The following is a 17952-nucleotide window of genomic DNA, read 5'->3' as shown; positions in this document are numbered from 1 at the left end:
ATGACCTCGCCCCTCCTTCACACATCTTTCCAGGAGACCCTCCCAGCCCAGACGAGCGTCGAGGGGGGACAAGCAGGGCTCCCCCGGGAGACTCCCTGTCACTGGCATGGAGGATGGGCCTCCTCAGAGCCTTTAAGAGGTCCCCGTGGACTCGTCCGAGCTCCCAGCAGGAGACGTAGCCTACAGTGGTCTGCCATCGTCCCCTCTGCCTGCCCCACACCCCAGCACACAGCTCACACAAACATGAGGTATCCTGGGAAGCTCCCAGGAGGCTGTGCACACCTGTGTGCCCCACAGACCAGAGCTGTGTGTGAAGTGCCCGTGGGCATCCAGCATGTCCCGCAACACTACAAAAAGGAACGGGACCTCACCGTCCTCCTGCACCGTGCCTGGGAGGCCGCCTCCTGCCCAACCTCAGGGTACACAGGTGCACACGGAGCCAAACAAATACACACGCACTACCTGAGGGGCAGTGGGCAAAGCCTCTCTGACAGCTCATAAAGTTCTATTTCATTGCCATGATGTTAGGGGAGAGCAATTTGCTTCCAGCCACAGACATCCCACTCAGAATGGTGACAGCTTTGCTGTCGCAGACTCCAACACTCCTTGAGGCCCACGTGGCACTGCTTGGAGCCTCCAGCACGGGTCACTCAGAGGCTCTGGGTCAGCGCAGGGCGGCCTCCGGTACAACTGCACCATCCTTGAGTCCAGCCAACCCAGAACCCCCCGGGATGTGGGGAGGACCCCAAGGGGCAGGGGACATACAACAGGGCCCTGGGGGCCCAGGCTGACCTCTGATCTCTCCATGTCCCCGCCCCAGGACGCCGAAGACTTGCTCCTCCCGCTCCGTCCCTCTGCTCGATGCCCCAGCTCAGTGTGGGTGTGTGCGTCGGGTGGGGGCGATAAGTGTTTCTGTGGGTCTGCCTGCTTCTCCTCTGTAGAGGACTCACACTGACCCATCCTAGAAGCAAATAGAAGTCATTTCGAGCCGGCAGAAGTGGGCAGCCTGGGCTCCTCTGAGCTGCCCGCCCCAGCCCCTTGGAGCTGCAACTTTGCTCATCTTTGCAGGGGGTGAGTGGAAGAGCAGGGTCAGGGTTGGGGAGCAGTGCTGGGGCTGAGGGAGGAGCCCCCCTCCATGGACATACCCATGGTGAGGACCCTCCCCAGTCCAGCACTGCTGGACAATCAGGAATGGTGCCCAGCCCCCAGCCACTCAGGGCCAGTCCTGCAGGGGACAAGGACCACAGGCAGGGAAGGGAGCTAGCAGGTCCCTCACCCCAGCGAGTTCACCAGCTCTTGCAGAGTATTTTTCTGGGTTGAGACAGATTTCCATTTCCAGGGAGAAAGAAGGGCCTGATCCTAGCCACCCACTTCTGTTCCCTGTGTCCTAGGCCACAGCGATGCTGCCAGCAAAGCCCCAAGGCTCAGAGGGGACCTCATCTCTGCAGATTTCACCAGCATCTCTTGCAGCTGCCTATAGCTCCAGAACCAAACGACGCCTGGTCCCACTCTGGGCACCTATTCCCTGCCCCTCTCCCAGGGACTGCACAGAAGGAGGTGGCTGGGGGAGAGCTCAGAGCTTCTGCTCTCCAGGGTGGACAGCAGGGGTCCTGGGCTGTCCTGTCCAAGACACCCAGATGGACGCCCACACTGGGTCTTGCCTCCTCATCATCCACCCCACCCGAAGCTTGTAACAGCTCCCAGCAGAGAAGGCCCAATGGCAGCGGCCGAATTCTCAGCTCCCGGCAGAGGAGGCCCGATGGCAGAGGCTGAATTCTCAGCTCCCAGCAGAGGAGGCCCAATGGCACTGGCCAAATTCTCAGATTCTCATTTTGCCCTTAGCCTTGGCCTCCCACCTCCTCCCAAGGGCCCTATTTCTAAGAACATCCCCAGCCCCTGATGCCCTTGGTCATGGCATTAGCCTATGATCTGCTAAGGGTTAGAGGGTTCCTTCTGGGTCTCCACCCTGCACCCGGAGCCCAGCCCTGAGCCCAGGGATGAAGGGAACAGCTTTAATCTCCTGTGCACATCCTCTGGGAGCCGAGGAGTGTTGATCCGGCAAGATCTCAGCCACAATTAGCCGGTTCCCTCATCCCTGCCCTATAAATATTCATTCTGGGATTGTTATAAAGGTGCTTTTTATAAAAAACGCCAAACTCATTTGGAAAGGAGCTGAACGCTGCGCAGTGCAGGCTGCCAAGCTGAGTCCTATTGCGGATGGGACGCCAAGATGGCTTTTTCTCGTGGGCCCAAGCAGGTGCTCTCTGGGGTTTTGTTTCATTTGGGCCGGGGACTTTTTGGTTCCCTGCGTGTAGCATTTACAAATATGGCAGCAGGCTCAGGGTACCCGTAGGGGGCGGTGTCCTCCTCCTCGGGGGTGCAGGCCACAATGGCCCCCTGGAGCTGGCAGCCCCAGGCAGGGTGTGACAATGGCCCATGGGAACGTGCCTCGGGCTGCTCACTGTGAAGCACCCCTTACCCCGAGGGCCCTGGGCTCCCAGCACCTTGGTCCGGAGTCATCCTGGTGCCAGCCTCCACCAGCCCTGCTGAGAATCAGGTGATCGAGACCCCTGGGCGGTCAGTGGATCTGGGACTGAGCTGGATGTCATCTGGTCCAGTAGCCCTCCTGTCACTGAAGCTGGATGCTTCGGTTAAATGCTTATGCAGGTGGGGAGCTCACTACCCCAGAGCAGCTGTAGGAGGATTCAGTGTACCCAGGCGTACCCAGGCGGTGTACCCAGGAATCTGCATTTTCACAAGCTTTGGTGGGGGGTGGTTCCCATTGCTACTGCTTTCGGAGATTCTGAGATGGTGGCCACAAAGCCACTTGACAGATTAAAACATGTGCCACACATGGGGGAGGTTGCCGTTCTGGCCCCCAGACCTGGCTCAAATGGTCAATTCTGGAAGAACCGTCTCCTACCCTCCTCCTCCTCCAGCCCTCGCTCCTGGGGCACAGCAGGAACGAGACCCCTCAGGCAGTTTCCTGATGTGAACCCCATTCCTGGGCCCAAGGAGGCTTTGGGCTCCATGGCAGATGCAGCCCTCACCCCACCTGGGAGCCCCAGAAGCCCTTGGCACAGTGCAGCACCCCCCACCCAGGGGCCCAGCGAGGTGCGGCTGCCTCTCTGCACAGCTCGCCTCGTGTCCCAACGCTGCAGGCGCCTCCTGGCTCTGCTGAGCCAGGCTCCAGCCAGCTCCGGGACGGGATGTTCAGAAGGCAAGGAAGCTGCTGTTCCTGCCTTATGATCTAACCCCCACATTCTGCAGCTGACGGGTGCCCACCACAGGCTGCAGATAGTAGGGAGGCTTGGGTGACCCTTTCTCCCCTCCAGGGTCAGGGCCCTGTGGGCCGAGTTTCCCTCCAGAAGAGGCCTGGTGGCTGGGATATGGGGGTGCTGCCCTGAGCAGGGAGGCCTCCGGCAGCTGCGTTTGGCTGCAGCTCAAGCCGGCCAGGGTTTCTTTGCTCACAGTTACTTGGCTGCAGCTCCCCACCTTCCCCTACCCCCCGGCACCCCCATGTGCCCCTGCCCTGGCTGAATTGCTAATCATCCCAAGAAACAAACTCTCAGGGGCCACACTCTGGTCCCTGGAGGACACGTGGCCTCCTGACAGCACCAACCTCCGTCCCAGCTTTGCTTTTGCCAGGAACCTCCCTCCCCGAAGGGCGCCCGCTGAACAGATGGAGCCGTCTGCCCTGACAAATGGCTCCTGCTCCTCGTAAAACTCCCGAGGAAGTCAAATTTGAGCTCTTCAAACCTTGGAGGGCTGCCTTGAATTTATGATGGGACCTGATAAATGATTGAATTGGAGTCTTCAGGTAGCTTAACTGAGACAGCCGGCCTCTCACGGCACTCGTCCCGTGGATCCGGGGCCTCAACGACCGGGGGCAAGGCTGCCACCAGAAATGCTCCCGCCAGGCACGTGGGCTGGGCATGGCTGCCTGGAGCGGGGCAGGGATGGGGGCTGGGCATGGCTGCCCAGAGCGGGGCAGGGGTGGGGGCTGGGCATGGCTGCCCGGAGCGGGGCAGGGGTGGGGGCTGGGCATGGCTGCCTGGAGCAGGGCAGGGGTGGGGGCTGGGCCTGGGCAGGGCTCATGGGCAAAGCTTCTGTCCCCTCAGCCCGGCATCTCAGGCATTTGCTGAGGGGGCGTCCATCTCAGGGGCCTCCCGGCTCTCCCTGTAGAGCGAGAGGCTCAGAGTCTCCCGACTTCCTTTGGAAGCCAAAGCCTGCGGAGGCAGAATCGGCCAATTCTGGCCGTGGGGTGCATCCCGCCACCATCTCTCCCCGAGTGAGGGCAGGGCCAGCAGGCAAGACGGCATCACTCCCGGGGAGGGAACTTTGACCTCAAGTTACTCAAAGGGAAGGTGGTGCTGGCTGGGCCTGACCCCATCAGGTCATCACAGGGACCAATCCTGCTGGTCTCCGAGGAGGATGCCACAGCCTGCTGTGAAACGCTCCCCGGCACATGTGGCAGGGTCTCCGGGCAGCCTCTAGGAGCTGCGAGCACCCGGCCCCAGCCACAGAGAACAGGGACCTCAGCTCTCCAACCGCGAGGAGCTGGGGTCGGCCAAAAACCTGGCAAACCTAGAAGAGGGCCTGACCTCCAGGGAGGCTGAAGCTGGGTCAACACCTGAATTTCAGCCCAGGGAGATGCTGAGCAGAGAGCCCTGCCGCGCCAGGCCGGGATTCCAACGCACGGAAACCGTGAGGGCGTAAGGTGGTGTTTTCAAGCAGCCAACTGTGTGGCGATTGGTTACCCAGCGCAGAACACTAGTACAAATCTGCCCCTGCCTGTGGAGCGTCGGAACACACAGCCCAGCCTCACCCCCGTAGAGGTGGCTGCTGGTGTTCACGGACACCCCTCTGCCCTGCACCACTCCTCAGGCCAGGGAGGGGCGCCGTCACGGGCTGGGGACCGCCCCGGTGGTGACTAGGGAGCGTGGCACATGGGCTGGGCTTTTGGGGCTTGGGTTCGCCTGGTGGCCAACGTCAGAGGAGCCACGGCGGAGTACTGCGGAGCTTTCCGCCCCAGGCGCTGCCTCTTTACCTCCCACTCCAAGGTGGGAATTCCTGGATCCGTGGTCTCCAGGGCTCCTTGAAGCTGGGAAACACCATGCCTCACATGGCCTCGCATCCCCATCGAGACCATGGGCCACGGCGGCCCTGCCTTCTGCTGGAGGAAACCCCATGCCTCACGTGGCCCCACGTTCCCATTGAGACCATGGGCCACGCCCGTCCTGCCTCCTGCTGGGGGCAGATACCACACTGGAAGCCACAGCCCAGGTGGCTCCACCCAAGAGCTGCCAGGAGAAGCCCCCACTCTAGGACCCTCTCCTTCCTCCCTTCCCTGCTAAAGCCTCATGAAGCCTTCTTCGAGACCCGTGGGCCCCCTGGCCCCTCCACTCCAAGACCTTCTCCTGGGCCACCCTTCCTGCCTCCCCTCCCTGTCCCACCACCATGAGCCAGCTCTTCACTGAGCCAATCCCACCTTGACCTCAGGACGCAAAGTGGGCAATCATGTTCGGGCAATGGCTTCCACGGGGCAGCGTTCCTGGGGCCTGGCAGGGGTGGGGCAGCATTCCCAGGGCCTGGCAGGGGTGGGGCAATGTTCCCGGGGCCTGGCAGGGGCTCTGCGGCAGTGGTCAGCCCCAGGAGCACTGCAGCTACAGTGGGTGGTGTGGGGGGGTTAACCCTGGGGGTTCTGTGCTACACTCAGCCCAGGACCAACGACAGCCCCCAGGGCCTGCCCGTGTTTGGGCTTGGCCTCCGGGGACACTGCTGCCTGCCAGGCGGCCTCCTCTGGGCTCCTGAGTGACCTTCCCAGGGCTGCCAAGCCGGCGGCCACTCTGCGGAGGCACTCGTGTTCACAGTGATGAGCTGTTTTATTGCCCAGTCAGTAAAAGCCTTCTGATTATGTCATTGCAGAGGCAGTTGGAAGCCAAAACACATACATTTCCCTCTGTGCAGCACTGCCCCTCCGCCTCCACACAGGCCTCCTCCTGGTACCTCCGAGTGCCTGTCAGTGATCGAGACCTGGAGACCATGCAGGGGCACCTCCAGGCCCCGGGCTCATTCCTCATGGCCAAGAAACAAGAGGCTGTGGGCAGGGCCTCTGTGGCTGAGCGGGGGCAGGGGCCAAGGGTGGCTCTGGGGTGGGGACGCTGCCTGCCGGCGGCACCTCTAACTCCAACCCCTCTGAGCCCAAGGTGGAGGCCCAGGAGATGGCCCTGGGCCGGGTCTGCCTGTTGGAGTGTGGGCCCCTCCCCAAGAACCAGGGGTTCCAGAAGTGGCGCCAGCCCTTTTGAAATGAGTCCTCGGTCCCACCCTCTGTAGGAATTGTGGCTGAGGTGGGCACACATTCCTTTATTCAGGAGCTACCTGCTGAGGCCACACAAAGTGCCAGGCACACTGCTGAATGCTAGGACAAAGCATGAGCAGGATACAGGGCTGGAGCCAGGCTGCCTGGACAAGGCATCCAACCTCCCAGGGGCTCCCCGCCTCCCCAGGAGGGTCACAGCACCCAGCCCTTGGGAAAGGACTTAGCACAGGCCTCGTGCAGAGTGGCATCCAAGTGCCAGCTTGGACACAGCCCTGTCCTCCCCTCACCAAAAGCCCAGCTCAGAACCAACAACTACATAGTAATGGGGCGCAGGTACAGAGGGGGCCACCCAGGGCCAGGAGGGCTTCCTGGAGGAAGGGGCATCGACCCCCATGTCAGGGTTGTCTTTTCCCCTGGAGGGGAGGGAAGGGCACTTTCCAGCCCTCGCTCTAGTCCCTGGATAAGGGTAACAGCCCCAGCCCGAAGCCACCCCTCCTCGGAGCCAGCCCAGGATGTACCAGCCCCGGAAACGCTTGTCAGTCTCGGGCCTTGGGCTTCTCAGCACTGCTGGGGGTGGAGGTGGCCTCGAGGCCCAGCCAAGACACTTTGGGAGGCTGACATCAGCGCAGACTCATGCTCCGTGCTCGGCACCTGTTGGGAAAACCCGAGAATAGCCTTTCTCCAGAAGCAGAGTTGGGAGGGCACAGGAGGGGCCATGGGGGCCACAGAGCTGCAGAGTCACCCTCCCTTCTAGGCCTGGGGATGGGGGCTCCCTGACCTGGAGCTGAAGCCCCCATTTGTGTCCAGCCCTGCTGCCACTCTGAGTGACGGGACAGGGGCCTCCGCCCTGGGCCTGGGCCTCCCCACCTGGAAAAGGAGGGTGTTTGCGCGCACCCTTCTGTGGCCTGGGGCGGTGGGGCTGGCCCAGCAGTGACAGTCCAGGTGACAAGGCATGCAGAAGTCACATGTGAAGGGCATGCGACTAGTGAGTCAGGAGCCCCCTGACCCCCACCCCCTCAACTGCAATTCTTGGAGGTCAGAGGCTGCAGCAACCGTCCCTGCCCCAGAGCCCTTAGTCCTGTGTGGCTGACTCCCCAAGACTAGCACACTCCCTAGCACATAGTAGGCGCTCAAATCCATCTTCAGGCCCACAGGCAGACGCAGGACAGCCTCGGACGCCATCTGTCTCCCGGTCCCCACCCCTCAGCCACCCTCTTGGGGAGCCTGGCCCCACAGCTGCCCCGGGCCTCTCTCTGGGCTGGAGATGGATGAGTGCCAGGCTGGGGCCTGGGGGCTGCTACTCAGGGAGGGTCTGCGCCCTGGTGCAGAGCAGGGTGTGGGGCGTGAGACTCACCCAGGGCCAGCCTCTCCTGCAGGTGCCGCCTCCTCCCCACCAGCAGCAAGGCCCTGAAGTGATTTCTAATAACCAATTCATGATTTCTAGAAGGGAAAAGAACGAGCCTTCCTTCCCTCCCTCCTTCCCTCCTGCATTTCTTCCCCATGCTCTGCTTCCCTCCCGCCTTCTCAAACCCCTGCAGGCCCTCAAGGGGGTCCAGGGTGTCCGGCCTGCCTGTCCCCACCCTCCCCCCCGTCCCCAGCAGTGCCCCCACCACTGTGATCTCACCCCACCCTCTGCAGGGTGTTGAAGGGCGCTGCCACCCTCCAGCCCAGTCCCCGACGTGGGGCGCCGGGCCGTCCTGAGCCTCCGCCTGGGGCGTTACCTCACCAGCTGGATAAACCTGATGGCCTCACTGCCCCCACACTCCACCATCGGGTCGGGCTCTTTAACTAGCTCCACCAATAGATACATCAGAAGGGCCCCTTCAAAATATATGTGTGTCCTGATGACCAACTGGACGACAGAAATCGGCAGGCACTTAAAATGATGGCAACATTGCCTCAAGCTTCTAACACCGAGTGGCATTAACTAGCCAGGTAGAAGTGTCCCCGCCTGGCTCGAGGGGCCCAGTGTCCACGCACAGCCTCAGGAGGCCAATGAGCCGGTGTCCCCGCAGAGGCGAAGGCTGCTGTGACACTGAGTGTGTGGCCGCCAGGTGCCCGTCTCCACCGGGACAGTCGGGAAATGGGAGCCATGGCAGGCCGGTTGAAGCGTCCGTTTCTGCAGCAGCACAGGCCTAGCCCCATCTTAGTCCTAGGAGACTGGGGGGTGAGGGGCAAGGGCCAGGCAGTAGATAGATGCTCACTGCCTCTCAGTCTCTCAGCCTCCATCTCGTCATCTTAGGAGAGTGACATCCCAGGGAGGAACCCCTCTGCTCCAGCGAGCAGCCCCGGGGGCTGTGGGAAGGGCACCCACCTCTCAGAGCCATCTGCTGCTTATGGCCAGAGGCCTGGCTGATACCCCAGGGTGCTGGCTTCCCACGCCTGCCCAAGCCAGGGAAGTGTCCCAAGAGCTGCCTCCAGCCTCCAGCTGTCAGTGGGTTCCATCCAGTCCCACGAGCCACTGCAAGGGTCAAGCGAGAAGACAGATGCAGAATTTCACGCCAATCCCGATGTTCTAGCCCCTGTTGTCTGTGGGATGGGAGCAGGGGTCACCAGAGTGGCTGTTTTGACTTAAGAGTCCCCAGGAGGCAATTTCAAGAATGCTCTCTACCTCCTGGGAGCAACCGGACCCCCCACCTGATCCCCCACAGCCAGAGAGCTACCTGTTCTGGCCAAGATGTGCAGCACACGTTCAGGCCTAGTGTGAGCTCCATGACCCAGCCTGGGGCTCCCGCCCCTGTGGGTGTCACCCTTCTTGTCCCTTCCCATCCGGTTTCCTTCTCTTGTGGCTGCCCCTGCCGGTCCCCCTGCCCCCACCCACAGACACTGCACCCTCCTCCCCTGCCCCTGGAAGCTTTATCAGATCCCAAGCAGGGATGCCTCGTCACTCCCAGCCTGGCAGCTCCCACCCGCCTCCTTCTTCCCCCATGACTGGACTGTTCCCCTGGCCCTGCCACAGCCCTCTCCCTTTCCTAGATGGGACCCTTCCCTCAACCACCCCTGCATCTTCAAACGTGGGACCCCATGAGAGCCCCGGGATCGCTTGGCCAGGCTGAACAGGGCAGGGGCAGGGGCAGCAGCTCATCCAGGCCCCGGTGCCTGCTCTCAGCACCCCTGCCCCTCGGTGAGAGGCCCACCCCTCTGTAGGGTCGTCACCCAGACCAGCAAGGAAGGAGCAGGGTGGCCTTCGGGGCTTTCGACCGCCCTCAGTGCTTTACCCGTGGGAACTCCCTCCTCTGACCTAAGAGGAGACCTCAGGGAGGCAGAAACCAAGGGAGAAAGACCCTCCTTGGGGTGGGGAGTGAGGGCTTGTTTCCCGCAGGCCTCCTTGGAACTGGCCTCTCTCACAAGCAAGTCCCCTGCGTCTGTCTGGCATCCTGGAGAAACCAGGGAAGACCCAGGCGGTGCCGGGGACCAGGGGGTTCTGGACAGGCTGGACGTGGAGGGGTCCCCTGCCCTCTGTCAGCTGCCCTGGTGACTGTTCTAGCTCACTGCTGCCATCCTGGACGCACACAGAAGGGTCCAGCCTCCGCGGAACCATCCGTGTGTCTCTCGTCAGAAGTCGTGGGCACTGGCCATCTTTTGGGGCTGTCAAAAAATGTGGCTTCGCTCCACCCATGAGCCCAAGTGCACCAGCCCTGGAGCCCAGCCCCGGAGCCTATCTGCGGCCGAGGGAGCCCCCGCCTCCTGTGTCTTGCTTGTGAACCCAGACTGCAGGAGACACATCAGCCCCCACCTTCAGGCCTGGGGATGGGGGCTCTTCTGGGAGGGGAGGGGTCCCCAGAACCAGGCCAGGGCTCAGTGGTTGCTGGATAGATCCTCCGCTGTTACTGGAGGTCTCCAGCTGGATGGGCCCCTGGGTGCTGCCTTGTGCCAATTCAGGTCCTAGTCCCCCAGACATGGGTACGACTCATGCGGCACCCAGACTGGGGGCCCCGGGCCCTGTGACCTTGCACCTTCAGCCCCCCAGCCTGGCTGCCCTGTATCCCACTCCATCAGCCCCACCCCCAGGCCCTCCTATGGCCCCCTCCACAGCCCTCAGCCCATCTCCCCGGATTCCGGATGGGTCACCCCGGCTGTAGCCTGCCAGCTGGGTCCTGGGCATAGGGGCCCTGCCAGCCGAGGCCCGAGCTCCGTGCTCTGCGAGTATGGTATGGGGGGCTGTTTCATTCACTTGCCAAGTCTCTACGCTGTGGGGGCCCAGTAGACTTTCTAAGTGAATGACTGAATGAGCCCTGCAGGCTGAAGGCGGGGGGCCCGTCCTGGTGGCGCTGAGGTGCTGGGCTTCCGTGGGCCTCTCCCTGCTTGCTCCTCCTTGACCACCTCACTCTCTTTCAAGGGGGCCCAGCCCCCCATGAGCACTGACGCTAAGTGGCAAGGCTGCGAGCCTGCAGCCAACTCGGTTCCTGGGGAAGGAAGTATGGAGGTTGTGACTTACTCGAGGTGGGGGCTGAGTTCAGGCTGGAGGAGCCATCTCCCCCGTCCCACTGTCCCAGCTCCTGTGTGTGTCTCTAGCCATGGGAGGAGGGGCGTTCATGGGGAAGAGGCGAGAGAGGGTCAAGCTCCCGGGAGTGGAGCTGACGGAGGCTGGCCAGGCATGGGAGGGCCAGCTGAGCACTGCAGAGAGCGAGGCCCTGGCTGTCCCACAGGCCCTCTCACAAGAGGGGGCTGGATCTGCTCCAACCCCTGGTGTGCTTGGTCTCCTTGAATCAGACCCTCCCCCGGCCCTAGCCCCTTTGGAAAGATCTGGGGGTACCAGAACCGCTGAGGTCCACTGAACCCACCCAGAGGCCACAGCTGGGGCGATGTTGAGGCACGTGGTGACAGCTGTGTCACCATTGGTACGGCCATGGCTATGGGGTGTTTGCTGTCCACTGGGCCTGCGCATCTCGTACCACACAGCATCTTCCAACAAACCCGTGAGCTGTTTCTGTTTTTTTGTTTTGTTTTGTTTTTTTGCCATTTGGAGAGGAGGAAAGAGTGGCATGGAGGGCTCAGGGCCAGCAGGCAGTGCCACCTGGTGACTCCCCATGAGGACAGAGCCCCCAGGCAGCCCCCAGACTCTGCCCCGAAGGGGTTCCCTGCCAGGGCTCCCAGGGCCCAGCACTGCCCCCGACCCTCTCGGACACAGCCCCACTGTCCCCTCCCAGAAGCCCCCATGGTGGGTCCTACCAGCCTCGCTTCCTGGGCACCAGACAGACAGCCTGCTATTGACCGCACGGACTGGGCATTGACTGGCTGAAAGGTGAAACCTGAAATAGTCCCAGTTGCCGGTAAACAGGATTTTTAATTGTTTAGGCAGCTAATCTCTGGTATCGGTCACCTCCCAGGAAGGGGGGTGGCGGGGAGCCATGGGGGCTTTGATCGGTCCACAACCACAAGGGCAGGCTCAGGGAGGGGCAGGCTCAGGGAGGGGCAGGCTCAGGGAAGGGCAGGGCCGTGGTGGGCAGCTGTGGGGGAAGGACAGGACCAGCGGTGCCGGGCATCACCTGGGCTCTGTGTGGGCCCAGCAGGAGGCCGTGGCAGACACTGTAGGGTCTTTCCAGGCCCCTCAGCCAGGATGCCCGGCCCCAGGGCCCGGCTCAGGCCCAGAATGCCGTCCCCGAGGCAGCTGTGGGAGCGGCGCCGCCTCTGAATCCCAGCGTTTGATCCCCTCTCTGCCACTTTCTCTCTGTGACTCCTTGAGCATGTTGCTTACGCCTCATGTGCCTCAGTTTCCTCCTCTGGAAACAGCGTGATGATTGCAGATGATCAGCCGGCCCAGTAGAGCGAATGCGTTGGGTCGCTCAGTGGAGCTTCTGACTCAGGCGTTTGTTCAATAAAGGGCGGCCACGACTTTGAAGGTAAACCGCAAACACATCCCACTGAAGTCATTAAGAATCCTCCTGAGTGTTTCTCTAGATATGCTGAGAGGACACAGCAGCCCCCGGGGGTTCTGCTGCAGAGGCAGTCGCGAGGTGGCCTTCCCTCGAACCCCTTCAGGCCAGCAGTGCGTCCCTGCAGAGGGCATAGAGATGGGAGGTCATGTTGGCGGGGCGTGCTGCTGGGTGTGAGGAACCCAGCCTCTGGGCACCACCCCCAGACCCAGCCAGGCCACGGAGACCCATGCAAACCATGACAATGACGGGGTAGCCAGTGGCCAGGTGTCACATGGTGCTGTCAGCCTGCAGCCAGCACGAGAGCTTCGGTTTAATTCTAAGGGGGCGAGAACCCCCCCTGGAGGTTTGAGGGGAGATGATAGTTTCTAGAAGGAGATGATAGTTTCTAGGAGCAGAGCCAGAGGGAGGCCCTGGGGCCTGGGCAGGGGCAGCAAGGAGCTGGGCCTGGAGCTGGGCAGAGCTGGCTGCTGGCCGCAGAGCCTACAACCTCCCGCCACGCTCTGGGCCTGTGGGCCTTAGCACCCCCAATCCACGAGAGCAGTGACCTCCCACCCCACCCCACCACCACCCCTAATTACCAAACCCACCAAGGTCTGGGGCAAGAGCCTCAGACACCCTAGGACAGCCTGCAGAGGTGCCGGAACTGAAAACAGAGACGCAGCACCCCCATCCCCGGACTTGGACAAGCCCAGACCCCCAGGCCCCCCGAGCATGCTAAGAATGCGGGGAGGAGCTCTGTCTCCACGTCTCAAACTCACGAGGGCCTGGCTAACATTTCTCATTTTGATAACACACAGGGCGTTCCCTGGTGGCCAAGGTCATGACAGGGCTGGCTGCAGCTGTCCTGTGCGCTGTCCCCCTCAGCCCGACCGCTCTGACGGCTGGCGTTGTCGAGACGTGGCTGCATAATTGAAGGAATAAAGAGAGAGAGAAAGCTGCTTTTCTTGCAGAAATAACTATCCGCGCCTCATCAGCGGCAGGGTGGCTGGAGGAGGGTGGACAGGCTACAGGGCGGGAGAGGTTCGCAAAGCCCCACCTCAGCTCCAAATTTCTGGAAGCCCTCGGGAGCAGCAGTGGGGCCGTGGAGAGTTAGGGAGGCTGTGCGTGTGTGGGCGGGGGGTCACCTGCCAGGGTGAACCCCAGGCTGCCGCTGTTTGAGCACAAACTTTTCATGGTCTTCAGCCGGGGCGGAGGTGAACATCACGGGTGCTGGCAGTAAGCGGATGAGCCACGGAGCCCTGGGCTGGGACCACCACCTGGGAGGCAGCCCGAGCACCAAACACAGGGACACCAGCACCTCCCTCCCAGGCAGTTAGAAGCTGCAAGGAGATCCCGTGTGCAAAGTCCTCCCGTGCTGCCTGGCCATGGCCAGCCCTAAACACACAGGCCCACTGGGTGTGTGAGTGTCCAGGGGCCACCAGGACAAAGGACAGCAGACTGGGCAGCTGAACACCAGAAATGCATTGTCTGTTGTTCTGGAGGCCAAAGTCCCAGATCCCGGTGTCAGTGGGGTTGGCTCCTTCCAGAGGCCACGAGGAAGACTCTGTCCCAGGCCTCCCTCCCAGCTCCTGGCAGCTGCCAGCACCCTGGCGTTCCTTGGCTCATAGAAACACCCCCTGGCTCTCTGCCTCCAACTTTCCGTCACCATCACACGAAGATGAAGACGGCCTTCCTGCGTGGGTGTCTGTGTGTCCAGATTTCCCCTTTGTATCAGGACGCACTCACATTGGATCAAGGCCTACTCTGGTATGACATCATCTTAACCAATTACACCTGCAATGACCCTATTTCCAAAGAAAGCCACATTCCAGGGTACTGCGGGTTAGAAACTTAACACAGGAATTTTTTGTGGCCATAATTCAACCCATAACACTAGGACTGAGCACACTGCATCGTTACAGCAAAGGCCTTCCCTGCCGCAAAACAACCTGCACTCAGGTGCTTGCAGCAGCTTCATTCAGAGTCGCCAAAACCTGCAAACATCCAAGATGTGCTTCAGCAGGTGAACAGGGTTAAACGCATAAACAAACTACGGCCCATCCAGACAATGGGATATTATTCTACAATAGAGAGAAATGAAGCCCCACGACGTGGCTCACGCCTGTCATCCCAACCACTCAGGAGGCTGAGACGGGAGGATCGCTTGAGCCCAGGAGTTCACGTCCAGCTTGGGCAACATAGCGAAACCCAGTCTTTAAAAGTAAAATAATCGTAACCAACTATGATATTTGAATATGATGAATCTGATCAAGAATAAAGGGAAACGTGTATCAAGGTCTGAAAAGATCTGAAGGAACTTTGAAGGCATATTGTTAAGTGAAAGAAGCCAGTCTAAAGAGGCTGCATGACGCATGGTTTCAATGAATGATAGCAGGTCCTTGAATAATGTTATTTCCTTTTTTTTTTGTTTTTGAAACGGAGTCTCGCTGTGTCGCCCAGGCTGTAGTTCAGTGGCGCGATCTCGGCTCACTGCAAGCTCCGCCTCCCGGGTTCACGCCATTCTCCTGTCTCAGCCTCCCGAGTAGCTGGGACTACAGGCACCAGCCATCACGCTCGGCTAATTTTTTGTATTTTTAGTAGAGATGGTGTTTCACCGTGTTAGCCAGGATGGTCTTGATTTCCTGACCTCGTGATCTGCCTGCCTCGGCCTCCCAAAGTGCTGGGATTACAGGCGTGAGCCACCGCACCCGGCCAATGTTATTTTCTTTAACGTTGTTTCATCATAATGTTGAGAAAAGCAAATCTGCTCCCACCCAGGGCCACTGTCCGGGGAGCCTGTGCATCGCCCCAGGTCCGCGTGGGTTTTCTGTGGATGCTCCAGTTTCCTTCCGTGCCCCAAAGATGTGCACGTAGGGGAGCTGGCGTGTCGAAGCTGTTCCCGTCGGAGTGCCTGCCCCAGGACGGAGTGTGAGTGCCCACTCCAGGACGGCAACTCCCATAGCGGCGTGCGCTGTGTCCAGGTGGGTTCCCGCCTGGTGCCCCGAGATGGGGGCATGAGCTCTAGTCACCCTGAACTGGAATAAGTGGGGAAATAGTTATCTTACTTGTTTTTAATAATCCTTCTTAAATTCTTGATTAAAAACGCACAGTTCACATTTGTTTCCATGTTTAATATTAGAAGGGCTTTGGACTTTATTTAGAAGTTTGGTGATGTTTTTGTGACCAGAAATATGCCATAGGAACTTAACTCTTGTTCATGTTAATTAGCCTGTGGTCAAATTCATTTTGTTATACGTCATTTTGCTTAAAGTCCCAGTTTCCAAAAACCTATCAATGATATGAAATGAAGCCTTACTGGGTATGACACTCTTGAAAAGACGAAACCACGGAGACAGCAGAAAGACCAGTGGCTGCCAGGGTTAGGGCGAGGAGGGGTGAACAGGAGGAGCCCAGAGGGTGTGAGGGCAGAGGGCAGTGGAGCTGCTCCATGGGACGCAGCGGGAGGGGGAAATCTGTGCCGTTATAAACAAGTCAGACCCACAGAACACCCAGCGCCAAGAGCGAGCCGTGTGGTAAAGGGCGGACTCCGGGTGATAAGGACATGTTGACATGTTGATGCCCGGTCACCTGCTGCAGCCACTGCACCTGTGGTGGGATGTGGACCGTAGGGGGCGGGGGCGGGGGGGCCGTGCACATGCTGGGCAGGGGGCATAAGGGAACTCTGTACTTCTACAACATTTTTCTGTAAAACTAAAACTGCTATTATAAAAAATAGTCTCTTAATTTTTTTAAAGCTCACCAGACGTACACAGTAACTCTCTGTATTATCGCAAATTTTCTGTAAATCTAAAATGGTTGCAGAAGAGGTCTCCTCCTGTACCACCTTCCTAAGCCTGCAGCCTGTGCCTGCTGGCGCACCCCGCCCCCACTCCTCCTTCTCCCCATCGTCCAGCCACTGGGGCCAGATTCCAGGAAGAGTCGCTGTAGGGACTTCCCTGCAGCAGAGGAGGGGGCTGAAGAGAAACCCCTGGTGGCCCGGCGCTCAGAGCCTCCCCAGCTTGGCTTCACCTAAGCAAAAGTGGAAAGGAGCCTCGGGGCCTGGCCCACCTTCATCATCAGTACCAGCGGCTAAAGCAGGGTTGTTGGGGGCCGTCCCTCCACTCAAAGTGGCCCCAGGGAGCCACCTCTACAGTGACAAGGGTTGCCCCAAGGAGAGGAACTTGGGTCCGATGCCCCCCACCCTGAAGCTTGGGAAAGGAGCACGGAGGAGGGACAGGCCGAATGGCCCGCTTGGGGTAGACATTAAAGGGAGCCAGGCTGCAGCCACTGCCCACCCCACCAACACCTGCTCCACAGTGGCTGGGCAGGGGAGGCTGAGCGAGCAGAAATGCAGCATCACGCAGCCAGGCCTGGCTCCCCAGGTCCCCAGAGCCACCCCATCATCCCGGCTACCTCTCCGCAGACCCTCCCTGTGGGGTCAGCGCTGGCAGCACCTCCTTCCTGTCAGGAACCAGCAGAGGAGAGACCTGTAGCAGAAGCAGTGATGTGGTGAGATGACATCCAAAAGGGACATGGCCCTTCCACTGAGAGGCTTCCCCAGAGGCACAACAGGAGACTTGCCAAGGTTTGCAAAGATGCAGTGAGGCTCAGCATGTCGCCAGGGGTGTGTTAGGGCGGGGGTCCCAAGAAATGACAGCCACCCGGCCGTCCCATCATGGTAGCCAAGGCACTGCTACCCACTGAAAGTTCTTCCCTGAGTGGAAGGAAGAATAATGGCTCCAAAGATGTCTTCATTCTAATCTGCAGAACGAACAGGTGGCCATGTCACCTTACATTGCAGATGGGATGAAGGACATGGGATGGGAGGTGACCCTGGGTGGGCCCAGTGCAGATCATCGCAAGGGGCTCAAGCGGTCAGGGAAGGTAGGAGGCGTGCAATGGAGCAGGGAGCATGGGCCATGCTGCACAGCTGGCCTTCAAGATGGAGGCGGGGCCACGAGCCAAGGGACGCAGGCACTTCCAGAGGCAGGGGAGGAGGGAGCGAGCCTCCCCTGAAGTCTCCAGAGGGAAGCAGCCTGGCCCACACCTTGATTTTGACCCAGGGAGACCCATGCAGACCTCTCCAAAACTGTAAGACAGTAAAGCCAGGTGGCTTCGAGCCACTAAGTTTGGGTCCGTTTGCCACAGCAGCCACCAGAGACTGACAAGCCCGGGAAGTCAACCACTCGCGTTGGAGCTGAAGAGACACAAGCACTAATCAGCCACCCACAACGACCACCGTCCACTCCCAAACAGTAGTAGAAACACTGGGGGAACCCCAGGTGACTTTCCCGTCAGAACGGCCATCCGAGCTTCCACAATGGGTGTGTCTCTTTCTCACTGCTGGTGGGCCGTCCCTGTCCCTCATCTGCGTCAGGGGTGGCACAGGACGCTGCCACAGGGACCTAGCAGTGGCTCTCGGATGGCACCCAGGTGACAGGGTGCAGGGCCCATGGATGCCCCCTTCTCCATCGCCTTCCTCTTTATCTCCACCTGAGCAGGGACCCGCTGGGTCCTCACTGCCTTGCATGACATCCCCCGAGCCGGGAGGATCTGGCCCCTGGGACAAGTAAGGAAACGTGCGAGAGAGCCCCCCCCACTCCCCCCGCCATGGCCTGCAAGCACCAGGGTCCAGGGCCCAGCTCCTCCGCCACAGGCAGCCTTGCTGTGGGTTTAGGGGCTCTAAAGGGCTGGCTCGGGGCTGGCTGGTCACTGCCGGGTGCTAGCTGGGGTTAGGGGATGCTCGACCTCTCTGCTTCCCGGAGATTGTGC

The 17952-nt window shown here is 60.4% G+C and overlaps 1 long non-coding RNA gene across 2 annotated transcripts; it reads right to left on the bottom strand.

Moving 5' to 3' along the window:
* Positions 1-6351: 6351 nt before the first annotated feature.
* On the bottom strand, positions 6352-9052 carry LOC105376995 (uncharacterized). 2 transcript variants are annotated; one of them, XR_936978.3, is made up of 3 exons: positions 8986-9052; positions 8637-8783; positions 6352-6973 (listed from the first exon to the last, which is right to left on the bottom strand). It is a non-coding gene; the product is annotated as an uncharacterized LOC105376995 (long non-coding RNA). The 2 variants fall into 2 exon arrangements; XR_007067708.1 differs by lacking the exon at positions 6352-6973 and adding an exon at positions 7676-7762.
* Between the last annotated feature and the right edge of the window lie 8900 nt (positions 9053-17952).

The sequence above is a fragment of the Homo sapiens genome, chromosome 20 (genome assembly GCF_000001405.40).
Source record: "Homo sapiens chromosome 20, GRCh38.p14 Primary Assembly".
NCBI lineage: Eukaryota > Metazoa > Chordata > Mammalia > Primates > Hominidae > Homo > Homo sapiens.
Note: the sequence above shows the minus strand (reverse complement) of the source record. Positions and strands in the feature narration are given on the sequence as shown.